Genomic DNA, 21728 nt, shown 5'->3' on the forward strand with positions numbered 1-21728 from the left:
CCAATGGAACAGAACAGCGGCCTCAGGAATAATACTACACATCTACAATCATCTGATCTTTGATAAATCTGATAAAAATAAGAAACAGGGAAGGGATTCCCTGTTTAATAAATGGTGCTGGGAAAGCTGGCTAGCCATATGCAGAAAGCTGAAACCGGATCCCTTCCTTACACCTTATACAAAAGTTAATTCAAGATGGATTAAAGACTTAAATGTTATACCTAAAACCATAAAAACCCTAGAAGAAAACCTAGGCAGTACCATTCAGGACATAGGCATGGGCAAGGACTTCATGACTAAAACACCAAAAGCAATGGCAACAAAAGCCAAAATAGACAAATGGGATCTAATTAAACTAACGAGCTTCTGCATGGCAAAAGAAACTACCATTAGAGTGAACAGGCAACTTACAGAATGGGAGAAAATTATTGCAATCTACCCACCTGAGAAAGGGCTAATATCTAGAATCTACAAAGAACTCAAACAAATTTACAAGAAAAAACAACCCCTTCAAAAAGTGGGTGAAGGATATGAACAGACACTTCTCAAAAGAAGACATGTATGCAGCCAACAGACACATGAAAAAATGCTCATCATTCCTGGTCATCAGAGAAAAGCAAATCAAAACCACAGTGAGATACCATCTCACACCAGCTAGAATGGAGATCATTAAAAAGTCAGGAAACAACAGATGCTGGAGAGGATGTGGAGAAATAGGAATGCTTTTATACTGCTGGTGGGAGTGTAAATTGGTTCAACCATTGTGGAAGACAGTGTGGCGATTCCTCAAGGATCTAGAACTGGAATTATCATTTGACCTAGCAATCTCATTACTGGGTATATACCCAAAGGATTATAAATCATGCTACTATAAAGACACATGCACACATATGTTTATTGTGGCACTATTCACAATAGCAAAGACTTGCAACCAACCCAAATGTCCATCAATAATAGACTGGATTAAAAAAATGTGGCACATATACACCATGGAGTACTATGCAGCCATAAAAAGGATGAGTTCATGTCCTTTGTAGGGACATGGATGAAGCTGGAAACCATCCTTCTCAGCAAACTGTCACAAGGACAGAAAACCAGACACCACATGTTCTCACTCATAGGTGGGAATTGAGCAATGAGATCACTTGGACACAGGGCAGGGAACATCACACACTGGGGCTTGTCATGTGGTGGGGGGATGGGGGAGGGATAGCATTAGGAGAAATACTTAATGTAAATGATGAGTTCGTGGGTGCAGCAAACCAACATGGCTCATGTATACCTAAGTATCAAACCTGCAAGTTGTGCACATGTACCCTAGAAATTAAAGTATAATTTAAAAAAAGAAAAAAAAGAGATATAGACTGGCTGTATAAATAAAAAAAGCATGATCCAATTATATGCAACTTACAAGAAATGCACTTTACATATAAAAGCACATATAGACTGAAAGTAAAGGGATAGAAAAAGATATCTCATGCAAACAAAAACCAAAAGTGAGCAGAAGTAGCTATATTTATACCAGATAAAACACACTGTAAGCCAAACATAGTAGAAAAAGTAAAAGAAGGTCATTATATAATGATAAGGAATCTTTCCAGGAAGAGGAAATAATTTAAAATTTATATGCAACCAACACTGAAGCACCCAGATTCATAAAGCAAAAATTACCAGATCTAAAAAGAAAGAGACTGCAATACAATAATAGTGGAAAACTTTGACACCCTAATGAGCATTAGGTGGATCATCTAGACAGAAAATTGGCAAAAATATAACAAACTTACGACCAGGCATGGTAGCTCACCCCTGTAATCCCAGCACTTTGGGAGGCTGAGGCAGGTGGATCACTTGAGGTCAGGACTTTAAGAGCAGCCTGGCCAACATGATGAAACCCCAACTCTACTAAAAATACAAAAATTAGCTAGGCATGGTGGTACACACCTGTGATCCCAGCTACTTAGGAGGCTGAGGTGGAAGGATCGCTTGAACCCAGGAAGTGGAGGTTGCAGTGAGCCAAGATTGCACCACTGCACTCCAGCCTGGGCAACAGAGTGTGACTTCATCTCAAGAAAAGGACTTAAATTGAACTTTAGACCAAGTGGACCCAACAGACATTTACAGAACATTTTGTCCAACAACTGTAGAATACACATTCTTCTCAGTGCATGGAACATTCTCCAGATCAGGCCATATATTAGGCCATAAAACAAGTCTTAACAAATTTACAAAAATAAAAATTATATCAAATATATTCTCAGGCTGCAATGAACTAAAATTAGAAATAACAACAAGAGGAACTTTGGAAACTATACAAATCAGCAGAAATTAAACCACATGCTTCTGAATAACCATTGGATTAATGAAGAAATTAAGATGGAAATAAAAAATCTTATTAAAAGAAATGAAAATGGAAACATGAATGTATTAGTCCCTTCTCACATTGCTATAAGAAAATAGCTGAGATTGGGTAATTTGTAAAGAAAAGAGGTTTAATTGGCTCATGGTCCTGCAGGCTGTACTGGAAGCATAATGCTGGCATCTGCTCAGTTTCTTGGGAGGTCTCAGGACATACACAATCAAGGTGGAAGGCAAAGGGGGGCGTTAGCACCTCACATAGCCAGAGCAAAAGGAAGAAAGAGAGAGGGAAGATGTAACACACTTTTATATTCCATCCCTGGCTCCCTCCCAAATCTCATGTCCTTCTCACATTGCAGAATACAATCATTCCTTCTCACCAGTCTCCCAGTGTCTTAACTAATTCTAGCATTAACTCAAAAGTCCGAAGTCCAAAGTCTCATCTGAGTAGTCCCTTCTGCCTATGAGCCTGCAAAATAAAAAATAAGTTAATTACTTCTAAGACACAATGGGAGTACAGGCATTTGGTAAATACTCCTATTTGAAAAGGGAGAAATTGGCCAAAGGAAAGGGCCTACAGGCCCATGTAAATCCCAAACCCAGCAGCGCAATCATTACATCTTAAAGCTCCAAAATAATCTCTTTTAACTCCATGTCTGACACCCAGGGGATGCTGGTACAAGCTGAAGCTGAAGTGGCTGGGACACAAGCAGCAGCAGGGCCCTGGTCTCAGCTCAATAAATCATTCTTCTGAGGGAGGAGCCAAGATGGCCGAATAGGAACAGCTCCGGTCTACAGCTCCCAGCATGAGCGACGCAGAAGACGGGTGATTTCTGCATTTCCATCTGAGGTACCGGGTTCATCTCACTAGGGAGTGCCAGACAGTGGGCGCAGGTCAGTGGGTGCACGCACCGTGCGCGAACCGAAGCAGGGCGAGGCATTGCCTCACTTGGGAAGCGCAAGGGGTCAGGGAGTTCCCTTTCCGAGTCAAAGAAAGGGGAGACGGACGCACCTGGAAAATCGGGTCACTCCCACCCGAATACTGCGCTTTTCTGACAGGCTTAAAAAACGGCGCACTACGAGATTATATCCCGCACCTGGCTCAGAGGGTCCTACGCCCACGGAATCTCACTGATTGCTAGCACAGCAGTCTGAGATCAAACTGCAAGGTGGCAGCGAGGCTGGGGGAGGGGCGCCCGCCATTGCCCAGGCTCGCTTAGGTAAACAAAGCAGCCGGGAAGCTTGAACTGGGTGGAGCCCACCACAGCTCAAGGAGGCCTGCCTGCCTCTGTAGGCTCCACCTCTGGGGGCAGGGCACAGACAAACAAAAAGACAGCAGTAACCTCTGCAGACTTAAATGTCCCTGTCTGACAGCTTTGAAGAGAGCAGTGGTTCTCCCAGCACGCAGCTGGAGATCTGAGAATGGGCAGACTGCCTCCTCAAGTGGGTCCCTGACCCCTGACCCCCGAGCAGCCTAACTGGGAGGCACCCCCCAGCAGGGGCACACTGACATCTCACACGGCAGCGTATTCCAACAGACCTGCAGCTGAGGGTCCTGTCTGTTAGAAGGAAAACTAACAAACAGAAAGGACATCCACACCAAAAACCCATCTGTACATCACCATCATCAAAGACCAAAAGTAGATAAAACCACAAAGATGGGGAAAAAACAGAACAGAAAAACTGGAAACTCTAAAAAGCAGAGCACCTCTCCTCCTCCAAAGGAACGCAGTTCCTCACCAGCAACAGAACAAAGCTGGATGGAGAATGACGAGCTGAGAGAAGAAGGCTTCAGATGATCAAATTACTCTGAGCTATGGGAGGACATTCAAACCAAAGGCAAAGAAGTTGAAAACTTTGAAAAAAATTTAGACAAATGTATAGCTAGAATAACCAATACAGAGAAGTGCTTAAAGGAGCTGATGGAGCTGAAAGCCAAGGCTCGAGAACTACGTGAAGAATGCAGAAGCCTCAGGAGCCGATGCGATCAACTGGAAGAAAGGGTATCAGCAATGGAAGATGAAAGGAATGAAATGAAGCGAGAAGGGAAGGTTAGAGAAAAAAGAATAAAAAGAAATGAGCAAAGCCTCCAAGAAATATGGGACTATGTGAAAAGACCAAATCTACGTCTGATTGGTGTACCTGAAAGTGATGGGGAGAATGGAACCAAGTTGGAAAACACTCTGCAGGATATTATCCAGGAGAACTTCCCCAATCTAGCAAGGCAGGCCAATGTTCAGATTCAGGAAATACAGAGAACGCCACAAAGATACTCCTCGAGAAGAGCAACTCCAAGACATGTAATTGTCAGATTCACCAAAGTTGAAATGAAGGAGAAAATGTTAAGGGCAGCCAGAGAGAAAGGTTGGGTTACCCTCAAAGGGAAGCCCATCAGACTAACAGCGGATCTCTCAGCAGAAACCCTACAAGCCAGAAGAGAGTGGGGGCCAATATTCAACATTCTTAAAGAAAAGAATTTTCGGCCGGGCGCGGTGGCTCACGCCTGTAATCCCAGCACTTTGGGAGGCCGAGGCGGGCGGATCACGAGGTCAGGAGATCGAGACCATCCCGGCTAACACGGTGAAACCCTGTCTCTACTAAAAATACAAAAAATTAGCCGGGCGTAGTGGCGGGCGCCTGTAGTCCCAGCTACTTGGGAGGCTGAGGCAGGAGAATGGCGTGAACCCGGGAGGCGGAGCTTGCAGTGAGCCGAGATCCCGCCACTGCACTCCAGCCTGGGCGACAGAGCGAGACTCCGTCTAAAAAAAAAAAAAAAAAAAAAAAAAAAAAAAAAAAAAAGAATTTTCAACCCAGAATTTCATATCCAGCCAAACTAAGCTTCATAAGCAAAGGAGAAATAAAATACTTTACAGACAAGCAAATGCTGAGAGATTTTGTCACCACCAGGCCTGCCCTAAAAGAGCTCCTGAAGGAAGCGCTAAACATGGAAGGGAACAATGGGTACCAGCCGCTGCAAAATCATGCCAAAATGTAAAGACCATCGAGACTAGGAAGAAACTGCATCAACTAACGAACAAAATAACCAGCTATCATTATAATGACAGGATCAAATTCACACATAACAATATTAACTTTAAATGTAAATGGACTAAATGCTCCAATTAAAAGACACAGACTGGCAGATTGGATAAAGAGTCAAGACTCATCAGTGTGCTGTATTCAGGAAACCCATCTCACGTGCAGAGACACACATAGGCTCAAAATAAAAGGATGGACGAAGATCTACCAAGCAAATGGAAAACAAAAAAAGGCAGGGGTTGCAATCCTAGTCTCTGATAAAACAGACTCTAAACCAACAAAGATCAAAAGAGACAAAGAAGGCCATTACATAATGGTAAAGGGATCCATTCAACAAGAAGAGCTAACTATCCTAAATATATATGCACCCAACACAGGAGCACCCAGATTCATAAAGCAAGTCCTGAGTGACCTACAAAGAGACTTAGACTCCCACACATTAATAATGGGAGACTTTAACACCCCACTGTCAACATTAGACAGATCAACGAGACAGAAAGTCAACAAGGATACCCAGGAATTGAACTCAGCTCTGCACCAAGTGGACCTAATAGACATCTACAGAACTCTCCACCCCAAATCAACAGAATATACATTTTTTTCAGCACCACACCACACCTATTCCAAAATTGACCACATACTTGGAAGTAAAGCTCTCCTCAGCAAATGTAAAAGAAGAGAGATTATAACAAACTATCTCTCAGACCACAGTGCAATCAAACTAGAACTCAGGATTAAGAATCTCACTCAAAACCGCTCAAATACATGGAAACTGAACAACCTGCTCCTGAATGACTACTGGGTACATAATGAAATGAAGGCAGAAATAAAGATGTTCTTTGAAACCAACAAGAACAAAGACACAACATACCAGAGTCTCTGGGACACATTCAAAGCAGTGTGTAGAGGGAAATTTATAGCACTAAATGCCCACAAGAGAAAGCAGGAAAGATCCAAAATTGACACCCTAACATCACAATTAAAAGAACTAGAAAAGCAAGAGCAAACACATTCAATAGCTAGCAGAAGGCAAGAAATAACTAAAATCAGAGCAGAACTGAAGGAAATAGAGACACAAAAAACCCTTCAAAAAATTAATGAATCCAGGAGCTGGTTTTTTGAAAGGATCAACAAAATTGATAGACCGCTAGCAAGACTAATAAAGAAAAAAAGAGAGAAGAATCAAATAGATGCAATAAAAAATGATAAAAGGGATATCACCACCGATCCCACAGAAATACAAACTACCATCAGAGAATACTACAAACACCTCATGCAAATAAACTAGAAAATCTAGAAGAAATGGATAAATTCCTTGACACATACACTCTCCCAAGACTAAACCAGGAAGAAGTTGAATCTCTGAATAGACCAATAACAGGATCTGAAATTGTGGCAATAATCAATAGTTTACCAACCAAAAAGAGTCCAGGACCAGATGGATTCACAGCTGAATTCTAGCAGAGGTAAAAGGAGGAACTGGTACCATTCCTTCTGAAACTATTCCGATCAATAGAAAAAGAGGGAATCCTCCCTAACTCATTTTATGAGGCCAGCATCATTCTGATACCAAAGCTGGGCAGAGACACAACCAAAAAAGAGAATTTTAGACCAATATCCTTGATGAACATGGATGCAAAAATCCTCAATAAAATACTGGCAAAACGAATCCAGCAGCACATCAAAAAGCTTATCCACCATGATCAAGTGGGCTTCATCCCTGGGATGCAAGGCTGGTTCAATATATGCAAATCAATAAATGTAATCCAGCATATAAACAGAGCCAAAGACAAAAACCACATGATTATCTCAATAGATGCAGAAAAAGCCTTTGACAAAATTCAACAACCCTTCATGCTAAAAACTCTCAATAAATTAGGTATTGATGTGACATATTTCAAAATAATAAGAGCTATCTATGACAAACCCACAGCCAATATCATACTGAATGGGCAAAAACTGGAAGCATTCCCTTTGAAAACTGGCACAAGACAGGGATGCCCTCTCTCACCACTCCTATTCAACGTAGTGTTGGAAGTTCTGGCCAGGGCAATTAGGCAGGAGAAGGAAATAAAGGGTATTCAATTAGGAAAAGAGGAAATCAAATTGTCCCTGTTTGCAGATGACATGATTGTATATCTAGAAAACCCCATTGTCTAAGCCCAAAATCTCCTTAAGCTGATAAGCAACTTCAGCAAAGTCTCAGGATACAAAATCAATGTACAAAAATCACAAGCATTCTTATACACCAACAACAGACAAACAGAGAGCCAAATCATGAGTGAACTCCCATTCACAATTGCTTCAAAGAGAATAAAATACCTAGGAATCCAACTTCCAAGGGATGTGAAGGACCTCTTCAAGGAGAACTACAAACCACTGCTCAAGGAAATAAAAGAGGATACAAACAAATGGAAGAACATTCCATGCTCATGGGTAAGAAGAATCAATATTGTGAAAATGGCCATACTGCCCAAGGTAATTTACAGATTCAATGCCATCCCCATCAAGCTACCAATGCCTTTCTTCACAGAATTGCAAAAAACTACTTTAAAGTTCATATGGAACCAAAAAAGAGCCCGCATCGCCAAGTCAATCCTAAGCCAAAAGAACAAAGCTGGAGGCATCACGCTACCTGACTTCAAACTATACTACAAGGCGACAGTAACCAAAACAGCATGGTACCGGTACCAAAACAGAGATATAGATCAATGGAACAGAACAGAGCCCTCAGAAATAACGTCACATATCTACAACTATCTGATCTTTGACAAACCTGAGAAAAACAAGCAATGGGGAAAGGATTCCCTATTTAATAAATGGTGCTGGGAAAACTGGCTAGCCATATGTAGAAAGCTGAAACTGGATCCCTTCCTTACACCTTAGACAAAAATCAATTCAACATGGATTAAAGACTTAAACGTTAGACCTAAAACCATAAAAACCCTAGAAGAAAACCTAGGCATTACCATTCAGGACATAGGCATGGGCAAGGACTTCATGTCTAAAACACCAAAAGCAATGGCAACAAAAGCCAAAATTGACAAATGGGATCTAATTAAAGTAAAGAGCTTCTGCACAGCAAAAGAAACTACCATCAGAGTGAACAGGCAACCTACAAAATGGGAGAAAATTTTCACAACCTACTCATCTGACAAAGGTCTAATATCCAGAATCTACAATGAACTCAAACAAATTTACAAGAAAAAAACGAACAACCCCATCAAAAAGTGGGTGAAGGACATGAACAGACACTTCTCAAAAGAAGACATTTATGCAGCCAAAACACACATGAAAAAATGCTCATCATCACTGGCCATCAGAGAAATGCAAATCAAAACCACAATGAGATACCATCTCACACCAGTTAGAATGGCAATCATTAAAAAGTCAGGAAACAACAGGTGCTGGAGAGGATGTGGAGAAATAGGAACACTTTTACACTGTTGGTGGGACTGTAAACTAGTTCAACCATTGTGGAAGTCAGTGTGGCGATTCCTCAGGGATCTAGAACTAGAAATACCATTTGACCCAGCCATCCCATTACTGGGTATATACCCAAAGGATTATAAATCATGCTGCTATAAAGACACATGCACACGTATGTTTATTGCGGCATTATTCACAATAGCAAAGACTTGGAACCAAGCCAAATGTCCAACAATGATAGACTGGATTAAGAAAATGTGGCACATATACACCATGGAATACTATGCAGCCATAAAAAATGATGAGTTCATGTCCTTTGTAGGGACATGGATGAAATTGGAAATCATCATTCTCAGTAAACTATCGCAAGAACAAAAAACCAAACACCGCATATTCTCACTTATAGGTGGGAATTGAACAATGAGATCACATGGACACAGGAAGGGGAATATCACACTCTGGGAACTGTTGTGGGTTGGGGGAGGGGGGAGGGATAGCATTGGGAGATATACCTAATGCTAGATGACGAGTTAGTGGGTGCAGCGCACCAGCATGGCACAGGTATACAAATGTAACTAACCTGTACAATGTGCACATGTACCCTAAAACTTAAAGTATAATAATAAAAAAAAAGAAACAATTACTAGTCTCTAAAAAAAAAAAAAAAAAAGAAAGAAAGAAAGAAATCATTCTTCCCTCCTAGACCTCTGGGCCTGTGATGGGAGGGGCTGCCATGGAGGTCTCTGAAATTCCTTTGAAGTCTTCTCATTGTCTTGGCTATTAACATTCAACTTCTCTTTATTTAATGCAAATTTTTGCAGCCAGCTTCAATTCCTCCCCCAGAAATTTTTGTTTGTTTGTTTGTTTTTTGTTTTGTTTTTTCTAACACATGGCTGGGCTGCAAATTTTCCAAACTTTTACACTCTCCTTCTGTTTTAAATATAAGTTCCAGTTTTACATCATTTCCTTGCTCACACATATGAGCTAGGCTATTAAAAGCAGCCAGGCAAATTCTTGACTGCTTTGCTGCTTAGAAATTTCTTCTGCCAGATACCCTAAATCATCACTCTCAAGTTCAAAGTTCCACAGATCCCTGGGCAGGGGCACAATGCCACCAAGTTCTTTGCTAATGCATAGCAAAGATAACCTTTACTCCAGTTCCTAATAAGTTCCTCATCTCCATTTGAGACCTCTTCAGCCTGAACTCCATTGTCCATATATATCACCATCATCATTTTGGTCACAACAATTTAACAAGTCTCTAGGAAGTTCCAAAGTTTCCTTCATCTTCCTGTCTTCTTTGGAGCCCTCCAAACTGTTGCAACCACTGGCCATTACCCAGTTCCAGAGCTGCTTCCACATTTTCAGATATCTTTATAGCAATGCCCCACCTCTCTGGTACCAAGTTTCTGTATTAGCCCATTCTTGCATTGAATAAAAAATACCTGAGACTTAGTAATTTATAAAGAAAAGAGGTTTAATTGGCTCATGGATCTCTTGGCTGTACAGGAAGCATGATGCTAACATCTGCTTAGCAACTTGGGAGGCCTCAGGAAACTTATAATTATGGCAGAAGGCAAAGAGGGAGCTGGCACCTTACATGGCCAGATTAGGAGGAAGAAAGAGGGAGGGGATATGCTACACACTTTTAAACAACCAGATCTTATGAGAACTGTATCATAAGAACAGCACTAGGGGGATGGTGCTAAGCCATTCATAAGAAACTGCTCCCATGATCCAATCACCTCCTACCAGGCTCCATCTCCAACATTAGGGATTATAATTTGATATGAGATTTGGGCAAAGACACAGATCCAAACCATATCAATAACATACCAAAGCCAGTGGGATACAGCAAAAGCAGTACTAAGAAGGAAGTATATAGCAATGAACATCTACAACGAAAAAGAAGAAAGATTTCAAATAACCTAAGAATGTATCTTAAGGAACTAGAAAAGCAAAAAAACATAAAACCCAAAATTAGTAGAAGGAAAGAAATAATAAAGTTCTAGCAGAGCTAAATGAAATAGAGACTAAAAAAAACAAAGGATCAATAAAATGAAAAGTTGATTCTTCAAAAAGATAAAAAAAATTTATAAATCATTAGCTAGATTAACTGAAAAAAGAAGAGAGAAGACCCAAATAAACAAAATCAGAGATGAAAAAGGAGACATTACAACTGATACCACAGAAATACAAAAGATTATCAGAGACTATTAGGAACAATTATATGCTAATAAATGGAAAAACCTAGAGGAAATGTGAAAATTCCTGGAAACATACAGTCTACCAAGATTAAATAAGGAAGAAATAGAAAACCTGAGCAGACCAATAACAAATAGCAAGATTAAATCAGTAATAAAAAGCCCCCAATAAATAATAGCTCAGGACCAGATGGATTGCTGCTGAATTCTACCAAATATATAAAGAAGAAATAATAGTAATCTTCCTCAAACTACTCCAAAAAATTCAAGAGGATGGAATTCTCTCTAACTCATTCTATGAGGCCAGCATTACCCTAATGCCAAAACCAGATAAGGACACAATGAAAAAAGAAAACCATAGACCAATATCTCTGATGAACATACATGCAAAAATCCTCAAAAAATACTAGTGAACAGAATTCAACAGTGCGTCACAAAGATAATACACCATGATTAAGTGTAATATCAACCATGCAAGGATAGTTTAACATATACAAATCAATAAATGTAATACATCACATCAACAGGATGAAGGACAAAAACTATGTGATCATCTCAATAGATGTAGAAAAAGTATTTGATAAAATACAACACCTTTCATGATAAAAACTCTCAACAAACTAGGCACAGATGGAACATACTTCAAATTAATAAAGGCCATATATGACAAACCCATAGTTAACATCATACCAACTGGGGAAAGTGGAAAGCCTTTTCTCTAAGAAGTGGAGCAAGACAAGGATGCCCACTTTCACCACTCTTATTCAACATAGTATTGGAAGTCCTGGCCAAAGCAATCAGGCAAGAGAAAGAAACAAATGGCATACACATTGAAATAGAGGAAGTCAAATTGTCCCTCTTTGCAGTTGATATTATCTTATATTTAGAAATACCAAAAGACTCCACAAAAATCCTCTTAGAGCTTATAAACAAATTCAGTAAAGTTGCAGGATACAATATCAATAGGATTTTTGTACACCGGTAGTGAAACAGGTGAAAAAGAAATCAAGAAAGCAATCCCATTTACAATAGCTACAAAAAATACATAGGAATAAATTTAACCAAGGAGGTGAAAGATCTCTACAAGCAAAACTATGGAACACTGATGAAAGTAATTGAAGAGAACACAAATAAATGGAGAGACATCTCATGCTCAAGGATCAGAAAAAATAATAGTGTTAAAATGACCATAATACCCAAACCAACATATGGAGTCAATGCAATCCCTATTAAATGTCAACATCATTTTTCACAGATATTTAAAAAAATCCTAAAATTCATATGGAGCAACAACAAAAAAGCCAGAATAGCCACAGCACTCCTGAGCAAACTGGAGGCATCAAACTACCTGACAAAATTATATCACAAGGTTATAGTAACCAAAACAGCATGGTATAAAAATAGATACATAGATCATGGGAAACAGAATAGACAACTAAAAAGTAAATCCACATATTTATTGCCAACAGATTTTTGACAAAGGAGCCAAGAACCTATTCAGGGGAAAGGACTTCAATAAATCGTACAGGGAAAATTGGATATCCATATGCAGAAGAATAAAACTGGACTCCTTTCCCTCACTGTATACAAAAATCAACTCTAGGTGGATAAGAACTTAAACATAAGATCCCAAATTACAAAACTATTAGAGGAAAACATAGGGAAAACACTTAAGGACATCAGTCTAGGCAAAGATTTTGCGGGTAAGACCTCAAAAGCACAGACAACTAAAAGAAAAATAGACAAATGGTAGTATATTAAAATAAAAATCTCTATATAGGAAAGGAAACCATCAAGAATGAAGAGACAACCACTTACTGGGAGAAGATATTTGCAGACTATTCATCCAACAACAGACTAATATCCAGAATATGCATGAAATTGAACAACTCAACAATAAAAAAGCAAAATCTCATTAACAAGTGGTCAAAGAACATGAACAGATGATTCTCAAAAGAAGATATAAATAGCCAACTGGTATATAAAAAATGCTCAGCATCACTAATCATCAAAGAAATGCAAATTGAAACCACAATGAGATATTATCTTACCCCAGTTAGAATAGCTATTACTAAAAAGACAAAAACAAAACAAAAACAAAAACAAAAACAGATGCTGGCAAGGAGATGCAGAAGAGGGAACTCATCTACACTATTGGAGAAAATGTAAATTAGTACAACCCCTATGGGAAAGAGTATGGATATTTCTCAAAAATCTAAAAATGATAAATGTAGTCCAGTAATCCTACTATTGGGTATCTATTCAAAGAAAAGGAAATCAGTATACTAAAGGGATACCTGCACTCACATGCTTACCATAACACTATTTGCAATAGGAAAGATATAGAATCAACTTGTGTCCATCAATAGAAGAATAGATAAAGAAAATGTGATATATATACACAACAGAATAGTACTCAGCCATAAAAAAAGAATAAAATCATATCATTTGCAGCAACATGGATGAAACTGGAGGCCATTATGTTAAGTGAAACAACTCAGGCACAGAAAGACGAATATCATATGTTCTCACTCATATGTGGGAGCTAAAATCATTGATATCATAAAGGTAGAGAGCTGACATTATAAAAGTACTAGAGGATGGGAAGGTGGGTGGGTAGGAGAGGGAATAAAGAGAGGTAGGTTAGTGGGTATAAACATATAGTTAGATAAAAGATAGAAGTTCAATCGTTTGACAGCACAGTTACTCTAGTTAGCAACAATGTATTGGATATTTCAATGTAGCTAGAAGAGAGGACTTGAATTGTTCCCAATATATAGAAGTGACAATAATCAAAGTGGTGGACACCTCAAAAAGCCTGACTTGATCATTACACATTCTAAGCATATAACAAAATACCACATGTACCTCATAAATATGTAAACTAATACGTATCAATTAAAAAAAGAGAAACATAGAAGAGAAAAAGGTAAACGAATAGGTTGTCTGACATTAAATTGTATAATATTTTCGGAGTCCAGCACATGTAAGCTCCATTAGAGTTGGAACCTCCTTGGTGTATTCATGTTGGTGTGCCAGTGCCTATAATAGGGTACAGGTAAGGTAGGCAATTAATAAGTAGTTGTGCAATGTTGAGTGAGTACCATTTCTCTTGATGAGTGACAAAAAGGTAAGAGATTTTCAACGGAGTGATTTTTTAAAATAGGAAATTTCCTTATTTGGTCAAATAACTATTTAGTGTTTTCCATCCTTAATTGTTGGCCTGCAATTGTGGGCCTCAACTCTGCAGTCATTCTTTGTGTGCCAACATAGTGCTCTGAAAATCTTCATTAATTATTAACTTTTTTTTTTACCATTCTCTGGTATTCCTGTTAATCAATGATTATGATGACAATAGCTAAAAGTGCCCAACTTTTAGGGAGAATGCCAAGAAATCTTAGTGTGACAGGGAATCACATTTTATCTAAAAGTATTCTTAGAGGCCTTGGGAAATACTTCGTTGATAAAGAAAGAAAGGTAAGAGAAAAAACAAGATTAAACTTAGACATAGAAACATAAAAATAGAATGAGAATTTTAGAGTTGGAAGGAAGCATGAAGAGCACATTCCATAGCAACAGCAGCTGATGCTGCCTGTGTCCTTAGAGGTTATCCAGGCCTTTGTTTTACAGATGAGAAAATATACACAACAGTGAAATTGGAACTCAGAGTTTAAGTGATCTACCTAAGTTTACAAAATTAGCTTGTCCCAAAACTGAAATGAGAATTAGAATATCCTGTTCTCCTTAAGGAAAATCCATTTGCAACACCTTCCACCCAGCTTTACTTTTCCACATTATACTGTGCCAGTGAAATGTCTTTCTCATAGGTAAGCTCTCACGACACAAAGTGTTCATCCAGCAGGAAGGAGCACTTTGAGTTGAGGAGGGTCTTAATTTATCAGGAAAGAGTTAGACTATTTCTGGAATGAAATGAATGCAGTGTTGAAAAAAAATGTTAGTAAGAAAAAATTCAACTATAGTCTATTTTAAACAAAGCATTAAATAATAGATCTGTGTTTAAAACAAAATACATGTGTGTGATAGAAATACATGTGGGTTATGTATGCTTGTAGTGAAAAATAGGCCACAATGTCTTTTCAAGTGACTTCAGGCATTGTTTTTTAAAGGCAAAATCTAAATTAATATATTAATGAAAAGCATGCATATCCTCTGCACTTGGAGGTTGTTTCATTATACATAGAGGGCTGTTATAGCTCTCTTTTAAAGAAGGATTGCAAGATTAACCATATGCAACTTAAAAATACATATGAGTTTATTTTTTTAAATGATTTAGATATTAATACAAGTTAACAGTTTATATGTCCTAGTCTCATGACAATCTTGAAATCTAAACGTGTTTTTTGAGACTTACTCACCCAACACACTCCTGGATTTGTGGTCGTCTGGGAGAGTCTTCTGAGGACAACATTTTTTCATGAATAGCAAACAAACCTCCAATTATGATATGTCCCGGAGAAGTGGCAGCCACAAAGTCATCAGGGGTCTGGCAAGGCTGTGAAGTAGCAAGAATAATCACAAAGCAGGTAATTAGTATAATTAAGAATGCCATGTTTCTATCTCATTTGCTCAGTTCATGTGAGTTCTTAGGAATCATTAAGTGCACGGAGTGCCAGCAAGATTCCTATTTCACCTGTAAACACCTTATAAGGTATAGGACAGTGTCAAAGGCCAGAAACACTCAGTATTCAGATACTTGATGATAGTCAAAACAGTTATTTCACCAATAAGAACACAGGCTTTTTAACACTCCAGTGTTAGAGATAATGTGATAGCAGTCATGTGATGTAAAAGCTGATAGAATTATAAACACAAGTTTCACTGTAATGGTACTTTTTTACTCTAGTGATATGTCAAGGGCCCTGAGTCACGTTGGCATTTCTTTTGAAGCAGAATGTAGAACTTTCAAGAAGAAGCAGTTTGGAAAAGTTTTTCCACTTTAGAAATAGACAGTTCTGCATTTTAAAAAGGTATCACATTCAAGGCACAAATAATTCAATATAGTTTATCAGGTATTTAGAAAAAACCATCCTGCTTTTATTTTTCCTGAAAAGTTCTGTTTAAAAAATGAAATTCAGTTAAATTTAGGTATTTGTCACTTCCACTTTCCCTGTGTTAGAAATATGTAGCTTTTGTGAAGATGGGTAAAACTAAAAACAAGATGAAACTTGTCCGATACAGTATTTTGCTTTGAACAAGAAAGGTCTGTTCATAGATCATTGACATTTCCACTATTGTGGGTGCTATATTTTAATAAATTTGGGACTGATTTCAGGCTACATATTCTTAAGTACTTAGGATTCTCTGAACTAACATAATTTGTTGGGTGTCTTTTGGAATTTAACAGAGGATAGAGAAACCTCAATAATGTAGTCACCATTAAGAAAAAGTTTAAAGTTTTAAAATGTATTTAATAAAATCAGTCTTTTAAAAATGTTTTATTAAAAATGAATATCTCATGGGCAAGCAGTTTCAAATCCAATACATACAGTTTGTTTGATGGGTAGCAGATACATTTTTTTTTTTTTTTGAGATAGAGTCTCATTCTGTTGCCCAGGCTGGAGTGCAGTGGCAGATACATTTAAAGAAATTTCAAAAAATAAAAGAGTACAATGGCCACTGTGGCATTTTTTCATTATCCAAATTAGCATTAGATTCCATAGTCCTATGGGGTTATGACAACTGAGGAGTGGAGAAGTCACAGCTCATCATGCAGCTTCAAATGTTTTATTAAGTCTTACCATTTTTACTAATGGCAGAATTTTCTATTAGAATGAAAACCGGTTAACTTCAGTTGCCCAGAAAGTTTAACAAACATACATGAGTCTGAAGACTCTTGAGATGTTTAGCAATTACATTTTACTCATCTTAATCTTATTATTTATTGGTATATATGTGTGTGTATGGTATCGGATGGATTTATATTTTCATGAATTTAGTTATTTTGCTCAGATAACCTCAAAGGTCTTATGTAATTACAAGTTCAAAAATGATTTTGGGAAAACTAAACTAAAAAATGGGAAATCCAGATAATTCCCAGCAAAATTATAGTAAGTATTAAGCAACTCAGAGTGATTCTGAAGATACATTGTTCAGATGACATTTATTTGAAAAATCAATGACAAAAGGTATGCCAATAATGTCTTTTAGGTTGCAATTTTAACAATATTTAGGGTCTTTGTAATCTGATGAAATGTAAACATAAGGCACTTTTTAAATTTTAATAAATATAATCTAAGTTTGAAGAACTATGTCTTTAAAGGAGCCTCTGAAGGTAGGAAAACAAAACATCTAAAAAGACTTTTGTGCTGTAAAATGAAGTATCATGTGGCAGAAAGGGCCCAAACTTTGGAATCGGATAGACCTGGGTTGCTCTGCCCACTACTTAGCTATGTGACACTGAATGAGTTACTTAACTTCTCTGAAAAATAATTTTCTCATCTATAAAAGAGTTAAGATACTCTATCTAATGAATATGTTGTGAGATAAGCTGGTTTGATTTGCAAAGCTTCTGTATTCTGGTACGCACTGAATAATTAGTTCCTTTCCCTTCTTTCCCTTCCCAAAACTAAACTGAAAGTTATCATTTCCTAAATTTGTAGTGGTTTCTTTCTTTTTTTTCTTTTTTCTTTTTTTTTGAGATGGAGTTTCACTCTTGTTGCCCAGGCTGGAGTGCAATGGCATGATCTCATTTCACTGCAACTCCACCTCCTAGGTTCAAGCTATTTTCCTGCCTCACCTTCCCAAGTAGCTGGGATTACAAGTGTGTGCCATCACTCCCGGATAATTTTTTGTATTTTTAGTAGAGACAGGGTTTCACCATGTTGACCAGGCTGGTCTCAAACTCCTGACCTCAGGTGATCCACCCACCTCGGCCTCCCAGAGTGCTGGGATTACAGGCATGAGCCATCGCACCCAGCCAAATTTGTAGTGCTTTCTACAGCTGGCTAAATCATTGTTCAAAGATTTTTCTCAAGCATTAAATGCATGGTAGAAATGACTTTTATAATAGTACTACTAGCTGGTTGTTGTCATGTTGGAATGCAAATCCGTCGTTAAGTTAAACTTGAAGGAAGATATAGAATACGTTAATTACTTTAGAATTCCACTGGAAACATTATTGTCACTCTTGTAGTTTCTATTATTAGGGATAGAACTTTTAGCCATAATTTAGAATGTACAGTTGCTACATTTTTTTCTATTTAAAAAATCCTTATAAATGACAACAATAACTACTTCTATTCCAAAAGATTATGATTTTTATCTTAAGTAACTATTTCTGAAGGGTAAAACCTCTTAAAAATTTTTGAGATATGAATTACTGACAGTACTAGTTTATTGCTCCTTTTGATCTCAAGATTCTATTTTTTTTTTTTAACTAGCCTTACGTGGAGGGGCATCTGGTTAAAATAACTTAGAGGGAAGTAAGAAAGTATCACTCCCCAAGTAATTCTCATAAAGATACCATTATCCTGGTTAGACAAGCATAGTAGGAAAATACAATCAATGATTAAAGATACTTTATTCTAAAATGGTGAGTTTGTAGCACTGAAGATGGGATGGCTTCCCCAGTGATGAAAGGCTGCAGTGAAGATGGGATCAGGCTGGAAATGATACTCCGGGAGCAGGGGCAGGGAATACCACATTCGCACTCAAGAAAGCCCTCAAGAGAGTGAGGTTTGACACATGTCTTATTTTATTTTAACATTTTATTTTTCCCTCCTGTTATTCCAGCTTCCCACTCACCCTCCTCAATTGCACACCCATCTTTCATACTTCATTGAGTTTCATCTTAACAATGACACTACAAAATTATTTTCAGTGCTATTTGCATCTGCAATAAGATATTTAAAAGAGAAATGTCTTCAAGATTAAAGGAATAAATATAAAACAATGGAATTTCAGTTGTCTGCAAGAGGGGTCAAGGGAGGTAGAGTGTGGCAGGGGCTCATGGAGGATCCTTGGTCCACACTAGGCAGGCACCTGACTATGCCGTTGCACATGGAGTCAGCCTGATGGAACAGGTCAGAGAGTGTCCTCTGGAAGGAAAGAAGCCAATACCAATGTTATAAGGGTAGATGCCAATATCTACAGCCTAGGGGGGAAATAAACAGAACTTAAGAATCACTTCTGACCCATCATTCCATATTGTCAAACTACTTCAGTTTCCTTTTGTTTTTCAGGGCAGCATGAACAAAAATATATTTAGCTAAAACAAGCAGGTATTCAAAACACAATTATCCAATTCCGTTTTATTTCATCAACATTAAATTTGAATGAATTTTTTTTTCTGCTTGTGGTGTGCCTCTCTTTCTCAATAATTCCTTATCAAGAAGTCACAACAGGAGAGATTTTACCCTTAAAAACAACCATAAGCACTGAGCCGTGAATCCCACGATTAGGCACGTTCAACTGGCATCTCTTGTGCTGCTAGCTTACCAGCTTATTTAATCCTTCCATTATTTTCTAATTTTTCACGTGCTTACTATTACCTCTTCAACTAGATTGAAGCTTTTTAAAGATTCAGATACATGTTTTACACTTCTTTGTGTATCTCACAGTTCAAATGGCAGGCTTTTTTATGAGGACAACTTCAGTTGTCCAGAAAGTTTAACAAACATATATGAGTTTGAAGACTCTTTAAATGTCTGCAATTACATGTTACTTATTATAATGTTATTATTTACTTGTATATGTATGCATTTAATTACATTACAAATATATTGCTCAGTTTGTTCATCTTAACAAATCACCAATGAGCTCATAGTAGATAGATGAGCCCCAGAAAAATGAATCCAAGCTATAGTTCTCACTAGATATGATCAGCAGCTTTTACAGTCTGTTGCTATTATCATTTACCCAAGAAAATAAAAATATCAATTCATATTGCTTAATAAGTATTGAATGCTAGAGGGATATCACTGCACCTTAAATAAAGAGTTCAATAAAACCTCTTCTAGAGGTAAAATTACAAGCAAAAGCCTAAATCCCCACGGGGACCGCTGGATGCATAGCTAAGAAAGCTATTTCATTTAGCTGAATTTCAAATATGCAAAAAAGAGAAAGATTGGTCCTTAACAAGGTCATAAAATAACCAAGTCAGATTTTGGTCCTCTTGTATCCTTTCCCTCACCAGGTTCCCTGTTTCCCCGTACTTGCCCAGCTGGCTTATTATTCCATCACTGTACTATTTAATATTGAACTATCATTGATCTCTGCAACACTCTACTTCATCCTGCTCCATTTTCTTCTCCTGCTGTACCCTGGTCTGTAATTGAAATCCCCCCTAGCATTTCTTACTTAATATGTAGTTTTAACATTAAGTAATTAATTTTCTTTAATGGGCAACATACAGCATTTTATCTTACTTAGGGTACCCTAGGAGGTCTATGGATGGACTTCATGAGAGTCTGTGAATCTTTTGAAATTGTATAAAAGTTTTGAGTGAACATGCGTATATAGATTTTTCTGGGGAGAACATTCAGTTATTCATCAGATTATCAAAGGGTCATTTAGTCCCAGAAATGTGAAGAATCACTGTCTGTTTTATGAGAACACTGTTAAATCTATTAGAACAGATTTGAGCTCTGCTTCCCAGGAAACACAGGAATGTTTTCTGAAATAATGATCCTGCCTTTGTTGTTACCTGTTTGTAACCCAGATAATCCTCATTAATCTCCCACCAACAACTTCATGTGCCTGATACACATCACCATTTAATACCATCAGTGAAAAGATTGTTAACAATGTATTATTGCCCACAAATCACTTGTCATCCATCCAATTGTAGAACTCAGCTAGATCACTACCCTAAGGCCAGATCTGCTTACCTTACCACAAAATAGTGAAGATGGCAATTTTCTGGTGAAGTTAAGCAGTAGTAATAATCTATAAGGTTTTAATAGTACAGAAGAGGCCAAGTGTTCACTTTTCAAAGCTATTTTCTATTTTTAAAAATTTAATTTAATTTTAAATTCCAGGATACGTGTGCAGGACATGCAGGTTTGTTACATAGGTAAACATGTGCCATGGTGGTTTGCTGCACCTATCAACCCATCACCTAGGTATTAAGCCCAGCATGCATTAACTATTTATCCTGATGCTCTCCCCTCCCCCGATATGCCCTATAGGCCCTAGTGTGTGTAGTTCCCGTCTCTGTGCCCATGTGTTCTCATTGTTTAGCTCCCACTTATAAGTGAGAACATGCAGTGTTTGGTTTCCTGTTCCTGTGTTAGCTTGCTGAGGATAATGGCTTCCAGCTCCATCCATGCCTCTGCAAATAACATTACCTTGTTCCTTTTTACAGCTGCATAGTATTCCATATGTACCACATTTTCTTTATGCAGTCTATCATTGATGGGCATTTGGTTGATTCCATGTCTTTGCTATTGTGAATAGTGCTGCAACAAAAAATTATTTTCTAACAATCATACAAAAAATGAATTGTTATTAAAATACTTTGTTGTAAATTGAAGATATATATACATATATAAATATAAATATATATACATATATAAATATAAATATATATACATATATAAATATAAATATATATATATACACAATTCACCCTTGGACAACATGGGTTTGAACTACATGGGTACATGAATTTTCTTCTGCCTCTGCTACCCCTGAGACAGTAAGACCAACCCCTCCTTTTCCTCCTTCTTCTCAGCCTACTCA

The 21728-nt window shown here is 37.7% G+C and overlaps 1 protein-coding gene across 5 annotated transcripts in view; it reads right to left on the reverse strand.

Annotated features, from left to right (window-relative positions):
• Positions 1 to 15824, reverse strand: part of GPRC6A (G protein-coupled receptor class C group 6 member A) — a 37156-nt gene extending 21332 nt beyond the window's left edge. For 2 of the 5 annotated variants that reach the window (NM_148963.4, XM_017010476.2), the window contains exon 1: positions 15404 to 15667. In NM_148963.4, coding sequence (NP_683766.2) covers positions 15404 to 15597 — 194 coding nt within the window. In that variant the 5' untranslated portion in view covers positions 15598 to 15667. The other 3 variants (NM_001286354.1, NM_001286355.1, XM_017010475.2) reach the window with 2 other exon arrangements.
• Positions 15825 to 21728: the final 5904 nt, after the last annotated feature.

Source organism: Homo sapiens, chromosome 6 (genome assembly GCF_000001405.40).
Source record: "Homo sapiens chromosome 6, GRCh38.p14 Primary Assembly".
Classification (NCBI taxonomy): Eukaryota; Metazoa; Chordata; class Mammalia; order Primates; family Hominidae; genus Homo; species Homo sapiens.